This window comes from Homo sapiens, chromosome 10 (assembly GCF_000001405.40).
Source record: "Homo sapiens chromosome 10, GRCh38.p14 Primary Assembly".
Taxonomy (NCBI): domain Eukaryota; kingdom Metazoa; phylum Chordata; class Mammalia; order Primates; family Hominidae; genus Homo; species Homo sapiens.
In genome coordinates this window covers 90,707,319-90,722,680 of record NC_000010.11, presented here as the reverse complement: position 1 = coordinate 90,722,680, position 15,362 = coordinate 90,707,319, and the positions used below count along the sequence as shown (strand labels likewise).

The window sequence follows — 15,362 nt, the reverse complement described above, 5'->3', positions numbered from 1 at the left end:
GTAATTAGTTATGTACCAGTAGTAACCAAAGTAATTTTAAATACCAGTTGTACTCAATAAATGCTGTACAGTCATGTGTTGCATAACTCAAGGGTGGACCGCATACATGACAGTGGTCCCATAAGATTATAATGGCTATCCTGTATAGCCTCGATGTGTAGCAGACTATACCATCTAGTTTCAGTATGCTCTGTGATGATGTTTGCACAATGACAAAATTGCCTAATGATTGCATTTCTCAGAATGTATCCCTGTCAGGTGACATATAACCATACCAATAATGCATTAATTAATTGATGACAATATGAATAACCATGACCAAGTTTGTACATGCACAGGCAATGACAACTATGTCGTGATATCCTGCTGGCCAACAACGATTGTGAGATGCCATCTATTTTTTTTTTTTATGAGACAGAGTCTAGCTCTGTTGTCCAGGCTGGAGTGCAGTGGTGTGATCTCAGCTCACTGCAACCTCCGCCTCCCAGGTTCAAGCAATTCTCCTGCCTCAGCCTCCTGAGTAGCTGGGATTACAGGCGTCTGACACCACGCCCGGCTACTTTTTATTTTTAGTAGAGACGGGGTTTCACTGTGTTGGCTAGGCTGGTCTCGAACTCCTGACCTCGTGATCTGCCTGCCTTGGCCTCCCAAAGTGCTAGGATTACATACGTGAGCCACTGTGCCTGGCCGATGCCATCTATTTTAAGATGCATCCTGGTGAAAGAAAATGTGAAGAAAATATATCACAAGATTGATAAGGTGTGGTAGTATTTATGTAAAGGGAAGGACAAAGACAATGCAAATAGTGATCTTGTTGGTAAGGCTATTTATTTTGAAAAACTAATATTTTGTAGTTAGGACGACATACTCATTGACAAACTAATTAAATGCAGAAAAAGCTACTAAGAAGACAATAAAATCACAAAAATCTCACCATTCAGAGATAAACTTCCAGATACCTAAATGTATATAGACACATATAGCTATGTGGACATAATGCTTTGTAAATAAGTTTATGCTACATTGCAGGTTAATTTTTTCACACTTAAAAACATGCTGAGAGGTCAGGCATGGTGGCTCACGCTTGTAATCCCAGCACTCTGGTGGATCACTTGAGGTCGGAGTTCGAGACTAGCCTGGCCAACATGGTGAAACCGCATTTCTACTAAAAATACAAAAATTAGCCTGGCATGGTGGCACATGCCTGTAGTCCCAGCTACTCGGGAGGCTGTGGCAGGAGAATCACTTGAACCTGGGAGGTGGAGGTTGAGGTGAGCAGAGATCGCACCACTGCATGCGCCATAGCCTGGGAGACAGAGACAGACTCTGTCTCAAAAAACAAAAACAAAGCCAAACAAACAGATAAACAAACAAAAAACATGCTGAGATTATGTTTCTACCTCAGTAAATAAAAAAACACACACTCTTATTTTTTAATGGTAGCAGAGTATCTCATGTTTTTAACCAATCATCCAGTGATGGAGATTTTGTTGTTTCTTTTCAATTTCGCTTTTATGAATGCTAAAATAATAAGCATATTTATGCATTTATGTTTTCCCTGTTGTGTTATTATCTCTTTGTGGAGAATTTGTAGTTATAAGACTGTTGGATTGGATGGGATTTATTTATCATGGATTACAAAAATAGCAACATTTATGATGATGATATGGATTGACCGACCTGCCAAAATTGTGTCTATTCATACTCTATCAAAAGTTTTTGATAATGCCAAATTTCCTTTCCTTTTGCCAGTGTTAGGCTTTTGACATTTATCTGATGCCAATCTTATGGTTTTAAAAGATTTATTTTTTTATTGTTTACTTATATTTGAGAAAATAACGAAACTGAACATCTCTATTTTTTGATCTACTTTAATTTCTTCTTTGGTAAATCAACTATGCATAGTCTTTGACCATTTTTCTTTTTATAATTGATTTTCAAGAGCTCTTTGTACAGTAGTAATTCTTTGTCCAATATGTGTGTTACTAAACTTTTCTTCTGTTTTCCAAATGTCTATAATAATTATGATTCTTTGTTTTGGTTGCCCAGAAATATTTAATTTGTATGTAAATTCATTTTCACTGATGGCTTCTGGCTTTGGTGTCAAGTTTAGAAAGACTTGTTCCATTCTATAGTTTTTAAAAGTGTTTACTCATACTTTTGCTTCACTTTTTACATTTATTAAGAATTTTAATCTAACTGGAATTTATGAAATTTAATTTTTCCCCTAATGTGGCTAGTTTGTTGTCTTCAATTATTTAGTGAGTAATCAATCTGTTCCCTGTGATTTAAAATGCCACATTTGTCATACATTAAATCTCATAATATGTGAGATTGGTGTCTGTTTCCGGGATTCTCTGTCCCTTGGCAATTTGTCTTTTCCTGCACCAATGCTATTCATGTATTGTTATTGTTATTACTGCTAAATACAAGGTGTTACTATCTAATAGAAAAAGTGTGTACCCCTCTCTTCTAGTCCTTTCGTAATTTTTGTTACCATCTTTGCAGATGAATTTAAAAATAATTTTTGTTAAATTTTAAAATAATCCTGTTGTAATTTTGACTGGCATTACATACAAGTTATGGTCTGTTTTAGAGAAAGAACTAAAGAACTGACATCTTTACAACACCAAGTCTTTCTGTCCACAAACAAGGTATGTCTTTCATTTATTTGACAATTCTTGTGTATTTCTTGGTAAAATGTTGTAATTTTTATCGCTGCACATTTCTTTTTAGTTTTTGCTCTTTGTATTTTTGGTGTTTATTATGATTGCATATGTGGTAGCTTGATTACTGATTATCTCTGGTATGTGAAGAATGATTGCATATTATTGTGTATTTATTTTGAAGCTAGCTACCTTACTTATTCTCTTAACAGTTCCAGAAGTTTTCCAGGGCTTCACAGAAAATTATAAATTTTTAAAAATTATATAAAATTTTATTGGCTGGAAATAATTTTGCATCCTTCCTTTAAATATGTATACCTCTTACTTCATTTCTTTAATAGCATTGGCTTGAGGTTCAGAAAAATATTAAATTATTATGATGATCTAAGACATCTTTATTTCTGACTTTAATGGAAATACTTCCATTATTTCTTCCCTGAGCATAGTGCTGGCCTTAGATTTGCAATATGCATTTAAAAAATATATTCAGGTGGGATATATCCAATCCTATTTCACAGTTTGTTATTTTTAAAACCAGGAATAGATTTGGAAATAGACAAATGTTGGCAGCTAAGAAAGTATATTAATTGACTTACTAATATAATATCTTTGCAGTCTAGAATGATTAATACGTTTTTGCAATCTAAAATCCTTTCAGTGTCTTATTTAATTCTATTTCCCACTATTATGTTTAGGATTTTGGGTGTCAATATATTTATAAGTGAGATTGGTCAGTAGTTCTCTTTTTGTTTAATAAGATTTGGCAATAGTGTCATGTATTGACACATTTTTGAAATATTCCTATTTTTCTATAAATTGTTCCAGGCTCATTAGAGAATTTTATTTATATAAGTAAACAAATGTTATTTACTTTAAAATTTGCTCACAAAATTATCCTACCAGATCTTTTTAATAGGTGTCTTTTAAAAAGCTTTTTTATTTTCTTCTGCCTTTGGTATCAAATTAAGACTTTTTCCACCCTATTCTTATTAAAAGTGTATACTCTTTCTTTTGTATTACTCTGTAAGTTATCTTCATTTAATTAATTTTGTGTTTGTGCTTCTTTAAATATTTATTTTAGCATTAAATATTAATTCAAAACATTATATGGTAATATTTTGGTAAAGGATGTATTTTTCAAACAGCACAACAAGTAAGACAACAACAAAACACTCAGCCATGTTGGCCACACCTGAGGTGAATTTTAAAAGAATGTAAGCTACTTCAATTTCACAGCTGAATATTATTGTATATGAATTGTTCTAGATATGCAAAGCTAAAAAAAAAGGCTTTTTCTCTCAGTAAAAATCATGAATCCCTATATCCCCAAATTTCCTATTTCTTAAGCCAAGAAGACAAACCAAATTCTCTCTGAATTTGTCTACATGCAACAACAAGACCTCATGGGCAATTTCATAAAGACCCGACTGACTAATGTGGACTGATTCTGTTGTGGCCTGGTGCTTTATGGAGGCTGAGAAGTTACTACGTAGAGGAAAAGAGACAAACAACGCTGAAGGGGGAAGGAATGGCCTCTGCTAAATCCCAGATCTGAACTGACTGTAATGGAAACCAAACAAGCCACAGAAGCCTGCACTAATGATCTAGTTACACTCTTCCCTTCCTCCCTTTCTCTTGCAACAGAGGGCACCACTCTCCAGGAAAGCTCATACTGTATCTAGAATTTCTGTACAGATTTCCTCAAGGCACAGTTAGGTTCATCGATATAACTTTAACATGAGCACTGTGTTGTGTAGTGCTCAGGTATGCTTTCTTCTGTTTGCTATTACATTAATGCTGAAAACACAATTTTCTAAAGCTGAAATGGAATGTGTATCATATGAAAAGATTAATAATATTTAATTGACTGAAGTACATAATTAGTATTACTATATTTTAATAAACATACATTTGATCTAGGCATTTGACCTAAGAAAATAATCAGAAATAGGGTAAAGATTTTTGTACAAATCAATTTATCTTGACATTATTTGTGTAAATCTTATAAAGCCATCATCTGAGAGTAGTGTTGTGAACAGAGAAACACATATCAATAACAACTGAATACAATTTTAAAACACTGTAAGTTCAGTATTAATTAGGTTCCTTTGGTTACAGGCAACAAAGAATAATTGTGGATAACATACAAAAAAAAAAAGAATTATTTGGAAGGATGTGGGTAGTTCACAGACATGAAGGAAAAGCTGAATAGCCCTTATGAAAGATAAGTATGAGGCTGCACTAAGGGTGTAGGTTTTAGGAACACATAAAGGATTTTACAGGGTGTTACCCTCAAGATGAGCCAACTGCAAATACTTTCCTTTCTTCTGTCACTGTACTCAAGATTCAAATACCTGAGAAAGATCTTCCAAATAGCCTTACCAAGGCCCTATGTCTACCATTTGGCCAAGGGAACATAGGTACCTCGAGTTAACAGTTTTATCAAGACTTCATAGCATAGGAAATGATAGCAGAGACTATCTCTGGAACACAATGAACTACATTCTTGATTTGCCTTGCAGCTAGGTGGGGACCATGTGACTGAGTTCTGGGCAATGGAATGGGGGCAAAAGTGATGTACGCCACCTCTAGCCTGACCCATTAAACTCCTGCAGATCCTCCATGCTCCTTTTCCTTCTTCATCTCAAGGCAGGTTGCAAAAGGATCAGTGCAGGGCTCAGAGGCCCTGCAGGATATCAAATCCACCACACGGAAGGAGCTGAGTTCTCTATGTCATCACATGGAGTCCACCCCTGTACCACCATTGGACGGAAAGAGACATGAGAAATAAACTGTAATGATGTTAAGCCACTGAGATTTGGAGGTTCTTTATTTCAGAAATGGGGCTACCCTAATATTCAAGGGTGTATATTTGACAGACAAAAAACAAAACAAAAAACCAAAATTTGATTCTGTAATTTCTGTACTTGCGTTAAAAAACCTCAGTGAGGAGGTTACATAGACCATGGTAATTTTTTTTAATTCTCCCATCTAATTCCCTCACACAGTTACTCCCACATCTTATCCTTCAAAATTCTCAGAAAATTTATCTTCCAGTCCTGCCCACATACCTCTTGTTCTTCAACTCCAGCCTCACTTCTTTCCCTCTGAATCTGCATCACAAAAGCTCAAATAATCATCAGGCAAAACAGAACTCCCCTTCGAGGGTGGGAGAAGATGAAAATTAAACATCTGTCAGATAAAGGGGAATGTCAGAGAAAGGGAACATTCATGCATTAATAATATTGTAACATTTATGGCAATGAAAACTTGGAAACCACCTGAACGTCAAACATTAAGGAAGTAGTTAAATAAATTATGGCATACTTGTTACTGGTTATAAGAACAAGACAGATTTAGTCACTGTGCTCGTGGAGCTTGTATACTAACAGTAATATATTATGTTCATCAATAATCATATTTTGGAAATAAATAATATGAAAAAAACAATTTCCAATGAACTTCAGGTAAGAAGCTACATATATAGTAATTTAATACCAATTTAAAAATTTATGTATATATCCTTGTATATGTATGTATATGTACATATATGTGTGTGTGTATATATCAAACTGTTAAAAGTTATTATCTCTGGATATTGATATTACAGGTGATTTTTATTTCCATTTTATACTTTTTCATACTTTCAAAATATTATAATAAGTACATTTTTAATAGTAAGTGGGATTTTCAGATTTTCCTTATTCCTTTTCTGATTATTTTCCAAGTGTTAATGGAATATATAATGAGAAAAAAACATCAATCAAGTCACAGTATTTGATATCATTATGAACTGAGAAACCATTTGAGGAGTGGCTTCCTGGCTTAGTAGATTTTTGCTTCCAATAACCCTGTGGGCCTGAATTAACCTACTTGTAATGACTTGCCTACTGTATTAGTCTGTTCTCACATTGCTATAAAGAACTACCTGAGACTGGGTAGTTTATAAAGAAAAGAAGTTTAATTGACTTACAGTTCTGCAGGTTGTACAGGAGGCATAGCTGAGGAGGCTTCAGGAAACTTACAATCATGGCAGAAGGGGAAGGGGAAGCAAGCACATATTCACATGACGACAGGAGAGAGAGCAAAGGGGGAATCGCTACACACTTTTAAACAACCAGATCCCGTGAGAACTCACTGTCACAAGAATAGCAAGGGGGAATTCCACCCCTATGATCCAATCACCTCCCACCAGGTCCCTCGCCCAACACTGAGGATTACAATTCAACTTGAGATTTGGGTGGGGACACAGAGCCAAACCATATCACCTATCAAATAATATCTTTGGCTTTTGAGTAATATTTTAGACATTATATATCACTTTCATACACACATACGCATACACACGATCCAACTGCATTTTTGCAACATAATGGATTATTTTTAAAACACAAACAATGTGCATATGCTTACCTTTACTGTGACATCAAAGACCCTAATGCCATTGAACTTACCTGTTTTCAAAATAGAAGTACTAAAATTTCATCAGGTGGTTTTTAAACAAGCAAATTTATATCTTTAAAATATGGAGGTGAAATTATTAATAACACTAGGCAATTCTGTTCAAGTTTATTTAGTAAATCTGCTGTGCTTTCCACTTGTTAATATGGAAATCTATAGAGATATTAAAATGCAATTTATATTGTGTTTAAAGAAAATGATTTTTGCTTAATACAATACAAAGCCGTTGAAGGCTAATCCCATGGCATATGCCCCTCCTTGAACTACCAAATACCATTGAGAGGAGTGAGTGAATTATTGTAGGTGATTTTAGTTTAGATTATTAAAACATTTCCATAGACATAGAAGTCTGAGTTGATTAAACTTTAAACTTATCTGATTAAAGCACTTATTATATTATAGTTGAAGTTACAGGAAAATATTTCAATTGATTGGATAACTATGAATAAATAGGGAAGGATATGACTTAGAAAGTTTGTTTCAATTATTTAAGTGATTGCTATATGAAAGAAATTAAGAAACTGAAATTATCTTGACATTGTATCAAATTGCCAGACAGAAGTTTTGAAGGTGAATAATTTTCTGATGTCTATCATGCCATGAATTTAAAAATCTATCCGAATTATTTTTTGAGATAGTTTATTTAGTTTAAGAAATAATAAGAGAAATAAAAAATATGAAAATTCAACCAATAGAAACATTTAAGCAGTTGAATGTTATTGGCAGTCTCTAGCTCATTTCCTCAGTTGTTTTTAGAGAAGGCTTCCAGCAAAGGTGCCTAAATGAATCTCAGAAAAGGGAACATGAACTGTATTTCTACTGGTTTGATCTCAGACTTGTAATTTCCATTGACAGAGGGAACTTTGTATTAGATTTTGGAGGTGGGTGGAGAAAATAGTACTTCTTGAGTATTGGCCCAGTGCTCAGTGTTTTATGGGTATTACCTCATTTAATTTTCATCCCCAAATCTATAAACTCTTTTTTTTTTTTTGAGATAGAGTCTCGCTCTGTTGCCCAGGTTGGAGGGCAGTGGCACGATCTTGGCTCACTACACCCTGGCCTCCCAGGTTCAAGCGATTCTCTGTCTCAGCCTCCTGAATGGCTTTGTTTAGTGGAGTCCTATTTTACATAGAGTTTAAGTTTTAGTGTCATTATATGAAATGAAAATCATCCCCCGTCTGAACTGCTCTTGAAAATTATTTAAATTGTCCATCAAGTAAACAGGGTTTCAGGTATTCAACTGAGGTAGACTGGTTTAATAACCATGTACCATAATATACACTATAGAATAAGCAGTTTATATGAAAATGAAAATGTTAAACAATTTTAAGAGAGAGAGAACAAAGAAAAAACCCTCCAGTGCATATGCTTATTTAATGGACTGGCAGCACAATTCAAATAATAAATTTCTGTGCTTTTCCCATCACCTTACATCTAAATAATTGATTAAACTCATAATATAAACACTCATGTGATGTGATTTAAATGAATTCTCTTTTTACTGAGGAAAGCAGAGGCTGTGAGTGGTTGCATCAATTCCCAAGAACATATAGGAAGTGGTGTAGGAGCAAGTCAAAGGCTGCTTTTTAGATTTTAAAACCCAAGCTTCCTCCCAACTCCCAACATGCCATGCTGCCATGTCCCATTGCATCAGACTATGATCAATTCAAGGACTTTCCTCTAGCACATCAGATCCTTCTTGTCACATGACTAAAGAGCTGCTCACAGCATATTATGTGCAGCTATACCATGATCCCCCACTCCTGCAATTCTTTCATTTATTCCATAAACATTTATTGAGCAACAACTTTGTGCTGGCAATTTTCTAGGCACCAAGGATAAAGCAATGACAAAATTTCACTATCTTTCTTAACTATGCACATTATTCAGCATTTGGAAATGTATTTAGTTTCTAATCCTTGTGTTAGTCAAACAGTCATTTATAAATAGAAAGCTTTAAATTTTCCTATAACTTTTTCTGTGTAAAAATACATGCTTTACATGGTGGTTCAGTAAAAATATAATGTTGGTCTGGTATTCAGAAGAGCTCCTTTTGAGGCTTAACTTGATAATATTATTAAAAGCTTTGATTCATTGGTCAATTTTACTTTGACTCTCAATGACCTAACACTGAAGAACTTTCATTTATGAAACCAGATAGGCTACTTCTTGGGGTTGGAAAGATAAAATATGACAACCAACATGTAAGGGCCTCATAAACTATAAAATGCAACACAAATATAAAGCATTAATAATATCTTTGTAAAGTTATTCCATGATGTTTGTCTAAGCCCTGGGAGATGGTAAACATGGTGGGTAGGAGCCCAAGGCATGAGGTCAGACAGACCTGGGTTGGATGCCTGCCCAACCACCTGCTGGCTGTGTGACTTTGGGCAATTTTTTAAATCTCTCTGCCTAACTTTCTCATCTGCAGCATATGGATAACAATACCAACCGTTTAGGAGTGTTTTAAGGATCAAAACAGATAATACATAAAAAACAATTAAGATCATGTTTGGCCTATAGTAACCCCCCCCCCCCACCGCCAAATGTTACTTATTGTTGGTTTTACATTATTCTGTATAGATATCACCTGGTGTTAGCATTATGCTTGAAGAGAGTGACCAAGAATCCACTATTTGTGTAAAGGAGAATTCTTATTTTTAATTCTATTTCAGTGCTTCTCAGCTTTAGTGTAAGATGAAAACTTTTGTACTTTTCCAGAGAGCTTTATGCCTGCAAAACCGGTACTGGGTGGTAGCAATGCATGCGGCAATGATGAGGAGTTGTGGGATAGTAACGTCCTAGGTGCTGATTTCAGAAGTTGTCACAGAGGGCAGCACTTGCCTGCCTGGGGAATAACACACAACAAGTACAAAGTAGCAGCTCAAAGTTCTATTATGGGATAGATACTTCAGGATGGATCCACAAGCAATGCCTCAACTGCTGCTGGAAGAGCCTGTCTTGTTATTTTCAGTGGTTGATTTAGCCTATGGTCCACAGAATACTAGAAGGACTGGAAGTGTTGGAGGGGCCCTGAAGGGACTGACTGAGATGATGCTGTGAATGTGCAAGGGACTCTATGGTGTTGCTCAGCTAGGGAGGACTCTGAGAATCAGGGGACACTGGGGAGGGCTTAGGCTGGTATTTCTTTCCAGTGACTGCAGTCTGCGCTGAGAGAGAGCTACTCTGGAGCCCAAGCTACTTCTTCCGTGGCCAAGTAAAGTCTGTTTTAGTCTTGAGGCCTGGAGTAATAAACCATCTTCTCTCTTTATTAGGAACCCTTATTTTGTTTTTATCTCTTAAGTTCTGTAGTTGCTCTTCTTCATTAATGAGCACAATTAGTGGACAGTTTTACATTTAAAGTGCTGGCCTCTTTGGAGGATGTTTAACAGTGATAGGCTATTGTCAACTCAAACTGAATCTGGGAATTATGCTTCTTGACCCAAAGCTAAGAAGCTAAAACTTCCTCTCTGCTGTGAAATGAATTAATTCAGGTAGATGGACTAAACAGAGGTGGAAGAGCAAGAGAGAACATCTTTTTGGGAGAAATCTACTTAAATATTTTCTGCATGCTTAAGTTAACAACTGTAAAACTGTACACAGATCTTATTACAACTTCAATCAGTTATTCTCATAAAATTGTTGGCATCTTCATAAAGTCATGTATTAAAGAACTCTTCCAATTATTGTGACTGGCATATTTGCTCTAGGTCTATACTCAACCTGCTCTAGATGTCAAGAGTTTTGGAGTCCAAGGAGGAAAGTCCAGTTAATAAAGCTCATTCTTTTTACCTCATGTGCAGCACTGCCCCAGCCAGTCTCAGCTGCTACCCATTAGTGACACAGCTCTCAGTTCCCAATGACAGCCTGACATTGAGCAATTTGTAGGCTGCCATTTCTAATACCTCTTCTTGCCATCTCTTCAAGCCTTGTCCTTTTTTTTCAGGTACCGGGGGAAGTTTGAAGTGAATTGATAATGTCAGGCATGGCTATAGGTTGGTTCCACAAAGATTATATAAAATAAAATTCTTAAACTACATCATTCAGGTCTGCGAGAGCCTAAAATTGACTATCAGCTTTTTAAGGACAGAAGTAGGGTTTGTTTATCTCCCTTCTTCCTTCCTTATGTAGGATTTGAGAAAATTTCTATTAACTTATTCTAAGCCTTCCTAAGTTGCATGATTATAAAGAGGAGAGGCATGTGGGCCATGTCTGTTTTGGTGTTTTATTTCCTCCAATACTTTAGGGAGGCAGAGGATGACTTGTTTCCTTAGCACCGCTGCTTTCCTCTTATGAGGGTCCATGTGTCCTGATGAGAACAGAAAGAGAAAAGTTCTAGTTTGAGACCCTTACTGTGAAATCTCAAACAGATCACTTTCATTTTTTATCTACCTATAATGGGAATAATAGATGTCTGCTTCAGAGTGCAGAGTGTTATTAAAGCATCAAAATTGATAATAAATATGCAAGCGACTTATAAAGTGCCATACTTTTATAAAGGGTTGGTACTACCTGTCATTGATACATTTGCGGAATAGAACTACAGGGAAGTGTTGCATATTTTTCCTTCTGGGGAAAAGGATGCTGTATTTTCTTACTTGGATATAAAACTAATTATATTAGATGATTAATAAGTCTACCTAGACGTAGATATGGCAAATCAACCAATACTTCATTGTTTTTTAAGCCAGCATTTTCTAATAAAAGAGAACAGTTAAGGAAAATTTATAAAAATGGTAGTATTTTTTTGGTGCTCCTACTATATGCTGGATGTTTAAAATGAGTTATTTTGTTTAACCCTGAAAGTAAGTTTATCAGTAAGATCCTATTACCTACTTTTTTTTATATGGGGAAACTGAGACATAGAGAGATTAAATCACTGGTTCAAGATCTCATGAGCGATAGAAGCAGGATTTAAACTGACTTGAGACTCCATGCTCTGAGCCACCAAACTTTCTCTGCACATACACTGTGAATTGTAATCAAAATGCACTAAATGTTTAAATCACACTTATAGCGTTTCTGATTAAGTGTGTTCTTGTAAAAGCATTTTTGCTCCTCTTTCTTCTCTTAAAACATATAAAAAGCAATAAAAAGAATGAAAAATAGGAAAAAGAGAAGCCTGTTTATATTCAAAGAAACAAGAAAATGGCCACAACTCCAGCCTGCAATCTGTGAGGTATTCCTGCCCCAAAGTGTATTCTCGACCTGAAGAAGTAGGAACAGGACAGCAGAGGCATACAGATTTTCCTCAAACCTGTAGCCCCATCCTACAATTCTAAGGATTTGTAGAATATCGATGGCTGTGTCAGGACTCAGGTTACTAAGTGAGGAATACCCCTGTGGAGTTCCAGTTTAGTGATTTTCAATGGCAGGGATGGCATCTCTAAAAAAGGAACCTCACTGACACTATTTATGGTCTAAGATCCATCTCACCAGGAGCAGTATGGAGAGCAGGGAAACCATGTTCATCTACCCACAATATAGAAAGGACTTGATTGTCAGCTGCACTAAAGCTTCAAGGGCAAAGCATTAGGTCCCTCCATCTGCGAACTTGCCCTCTGGCAGATCTCAGCAGCCATGCCTTCCCTCTCTGCATCTATGTTGCCCTTGCCATGGCTCCTCAGGTCCTGGTGCAGGCGGAGGCACTGGGGAAGGAGCAGAGCAGTCAAAGCTGTGATTTTAATCTTTGCTCTGCTTTTGGCTGTTCTGTGTAGGTACTGGAAATATGAGCAAGAGGATGAATGTGGGTAATCAGAGCTTAATTGATTGTCTGACTAGTGGCACAGATTGGTTTTGAAATGCTGCCATACTCAAACTCTAAATCCCAATATTAGAATTTCTTATACACTTAACTCTGTCTCCTGCATAATTTGGAGCATGAGTCATCCCCCTTTTTTCTCAAGCATCCCTTTCAGTTACACATCTTTTGGTCCTAAATAATTTTGCCCTTGTTTATTCCTGGTTTCTTATTTGCCAACTGTCTTCATTACCATTTCAGTATTTCACTTGGGAAGAGGAGATATTCCACAGTGATGCTGAACAACACTGAGCAGAAGTGTTGCCTCCATCGATTTTGCTCCTATGGGAAACTTGAAAATGACAGAGAAAGGTCTGTCTGTTTCTGGGAGTGTTGGGTCTACAACAGGAACTATATATATTTCAATCTCGTTTTATTTGTTTTATCAGCAAAGAATGTTAAAGACAAGCATGTCTGTGAGGTGGATGAAGGTGTCCAGATGGCTCTTTCCTTTTATTCTCATTAAAACTGTTAGCTTAACATGTATATATATATATACTCAAGAGCTTCTTGCCTACCGCGTAGGTAGTGGCAGACTTGGTGAAACTGTGCCCACAACAATAAACCTCAATTTACATTGTAAATAGCCTTAGATCCTCTTGCCCACATTATTCCTTAGCTAATAGTTGGCCCCATTTAAAGAGGAATTATTGTTTTCATTTTAAGGAAGTAGCCTAGAGAATATATCACAAAAAGAATTACCCTAAAACATACAGTAGAGTTCAGAAAAATAAGTTTGAATGTTTTCAAAGAAATCATGATGTTTTCTCTAAAAAGAACTCAAAGGGTTCTGAGAAGAAAATATAATACATAAGCAGGAAGTTAATAGTGTGCCAGTAGAACCTAAGGAAGAACTGCAAGAAAATAAAATCATTATAGAGATGAAACATACTTTAGAAGCAACAAGAATAATGTAAATGCTGAAGACACAGATAAAGATAAGAGTGCTGGATAGGCTTCAGAAATCACAAAAACAAAACGGAAAAGACAAAGATATTTAAAAGATTATAAAAGGTGATCAAACTGGAAGACAGAGAAAACATCATCAACATAAATATAGTTGACTTCCTGAAGAAGAGAACAGAATAAATGAAACAGAAAAAGTATTCAAACATATTTATTCATTCAAGGAATATTTATTGGAAGCCTATTATGTTAATTTAGACATGGGGCAAAAGTATTTAACAAAAATATAATAAAAGACAACTTTCCTGAACTAAATAAAAACATGAAATTACAGATTAAAAATACCAATTTATTCTAGAAAGCAAAAAATACCTTAATATAGTAACAGTAAAACATACGTAAGCTAAATTACTAAATTTTAGGAATAAAGAAAATTTCAATGGTCAAACAATGAAATCCTGTACAAGGGAAAAATATGTTTGGCCTTGAGCTTGGGCTTCTTTTTTTTTTTTTTTTTTTTTTTTTAGACAGTGTCTCGCTCTTGTTTCCCAGGCTGGAGTGCAATGATGCTATCTCTGCTCACTGCAACCTCCGCCTCCTGGGTTCAAGTGATTCTCCTGCCTCAGCCTTCCAAGTAGCTGGAATTACAGGTGCCCGCCACCACACCCAGGTAATTTTTTGTATTTTTAGTAGAGACGGGGTTTCGCCATTTTGGCCAGGCTGGTCTCAAACTCCTGACCTCAGGTGATCCACCTGCCTTGGCCTCCCAAAATGCTAGGATTACAGGTGTGAGCCACTGCACCTGGCCCGGGCTTCTTAATAGCACTACTCGGTGCCTAAAGATAATGGAACAATAGTTACCAGTAACTCAGTAACTTGGTAATTTAAATGGTAAGTTACAACATAGACATTCTAAACTTTGTAATCTCTGTAAGCCAATCTTGAAAAACTGACTTGATGACAAAATACAAACATAAAGAGATGAATGATGATGTCATGATGTGTGGAGTACTGGTGGAATGTTTGATAACAGAGACCAAACAAAAATGGGGAATTATGTCTGTAGGACAGATCATAATGCTGTAAGACTTGGCAAAATGAAATAATCATATAACTAATAAAAAGTGTGAATTGAGGGAGGAATGGTGGAAGGAAGTATAAGTGTTAATTTCCATGTCTTTCAAAGGATTGCATTAATAAATATTAACTAAACATAAAATAGGTTAATTGAAAAGGAATCCTAAGCACAGTTTACAGAACAACCCTATGTGTTTTGTTTTGAAAACTGTATTAGTCTATTTTTACACTGCTATAAAGATACTACCTGAGACTGGGTAATTTATAAGCAAAAGAGGTTGAATTGATTCATAGTTCCACATGGCTCAGGAGGCCTCAGAAAACTTATAATCATGGCAGAAGGCAAAGGGAAGCAACCACCTTCCTCACAAGAAGGCAGGAGAAATAGAGAGAGCACAGGGGAAACTGCCACGTTTAAAACCATCAGATCTCATAAGAACTCTCTCACT

The 15,362-nt window shown here is 35.9% G+C and overlaps 1 long non-coding RNA gene across 1 annotated transcript; it reads left to right on the top strand.

Moving 5' to 3' along the window:
• Positions 1-630: 630 nt before the first annotated feature.
• Positions 631-5,477, top strand: LOC124902478 (uncharacterized). Its single transcript, XR_007062237.1, has 2 exons — positions 631-2,654; positions 4,014-5,477. It is a non-coding gene; the product is annotated as an uncharacterized LOC124902478 (long non-coding RNA).
• The last annotated feature ends 9,885 nt before the right edge of the window (positions 5,478-15,362 follow it).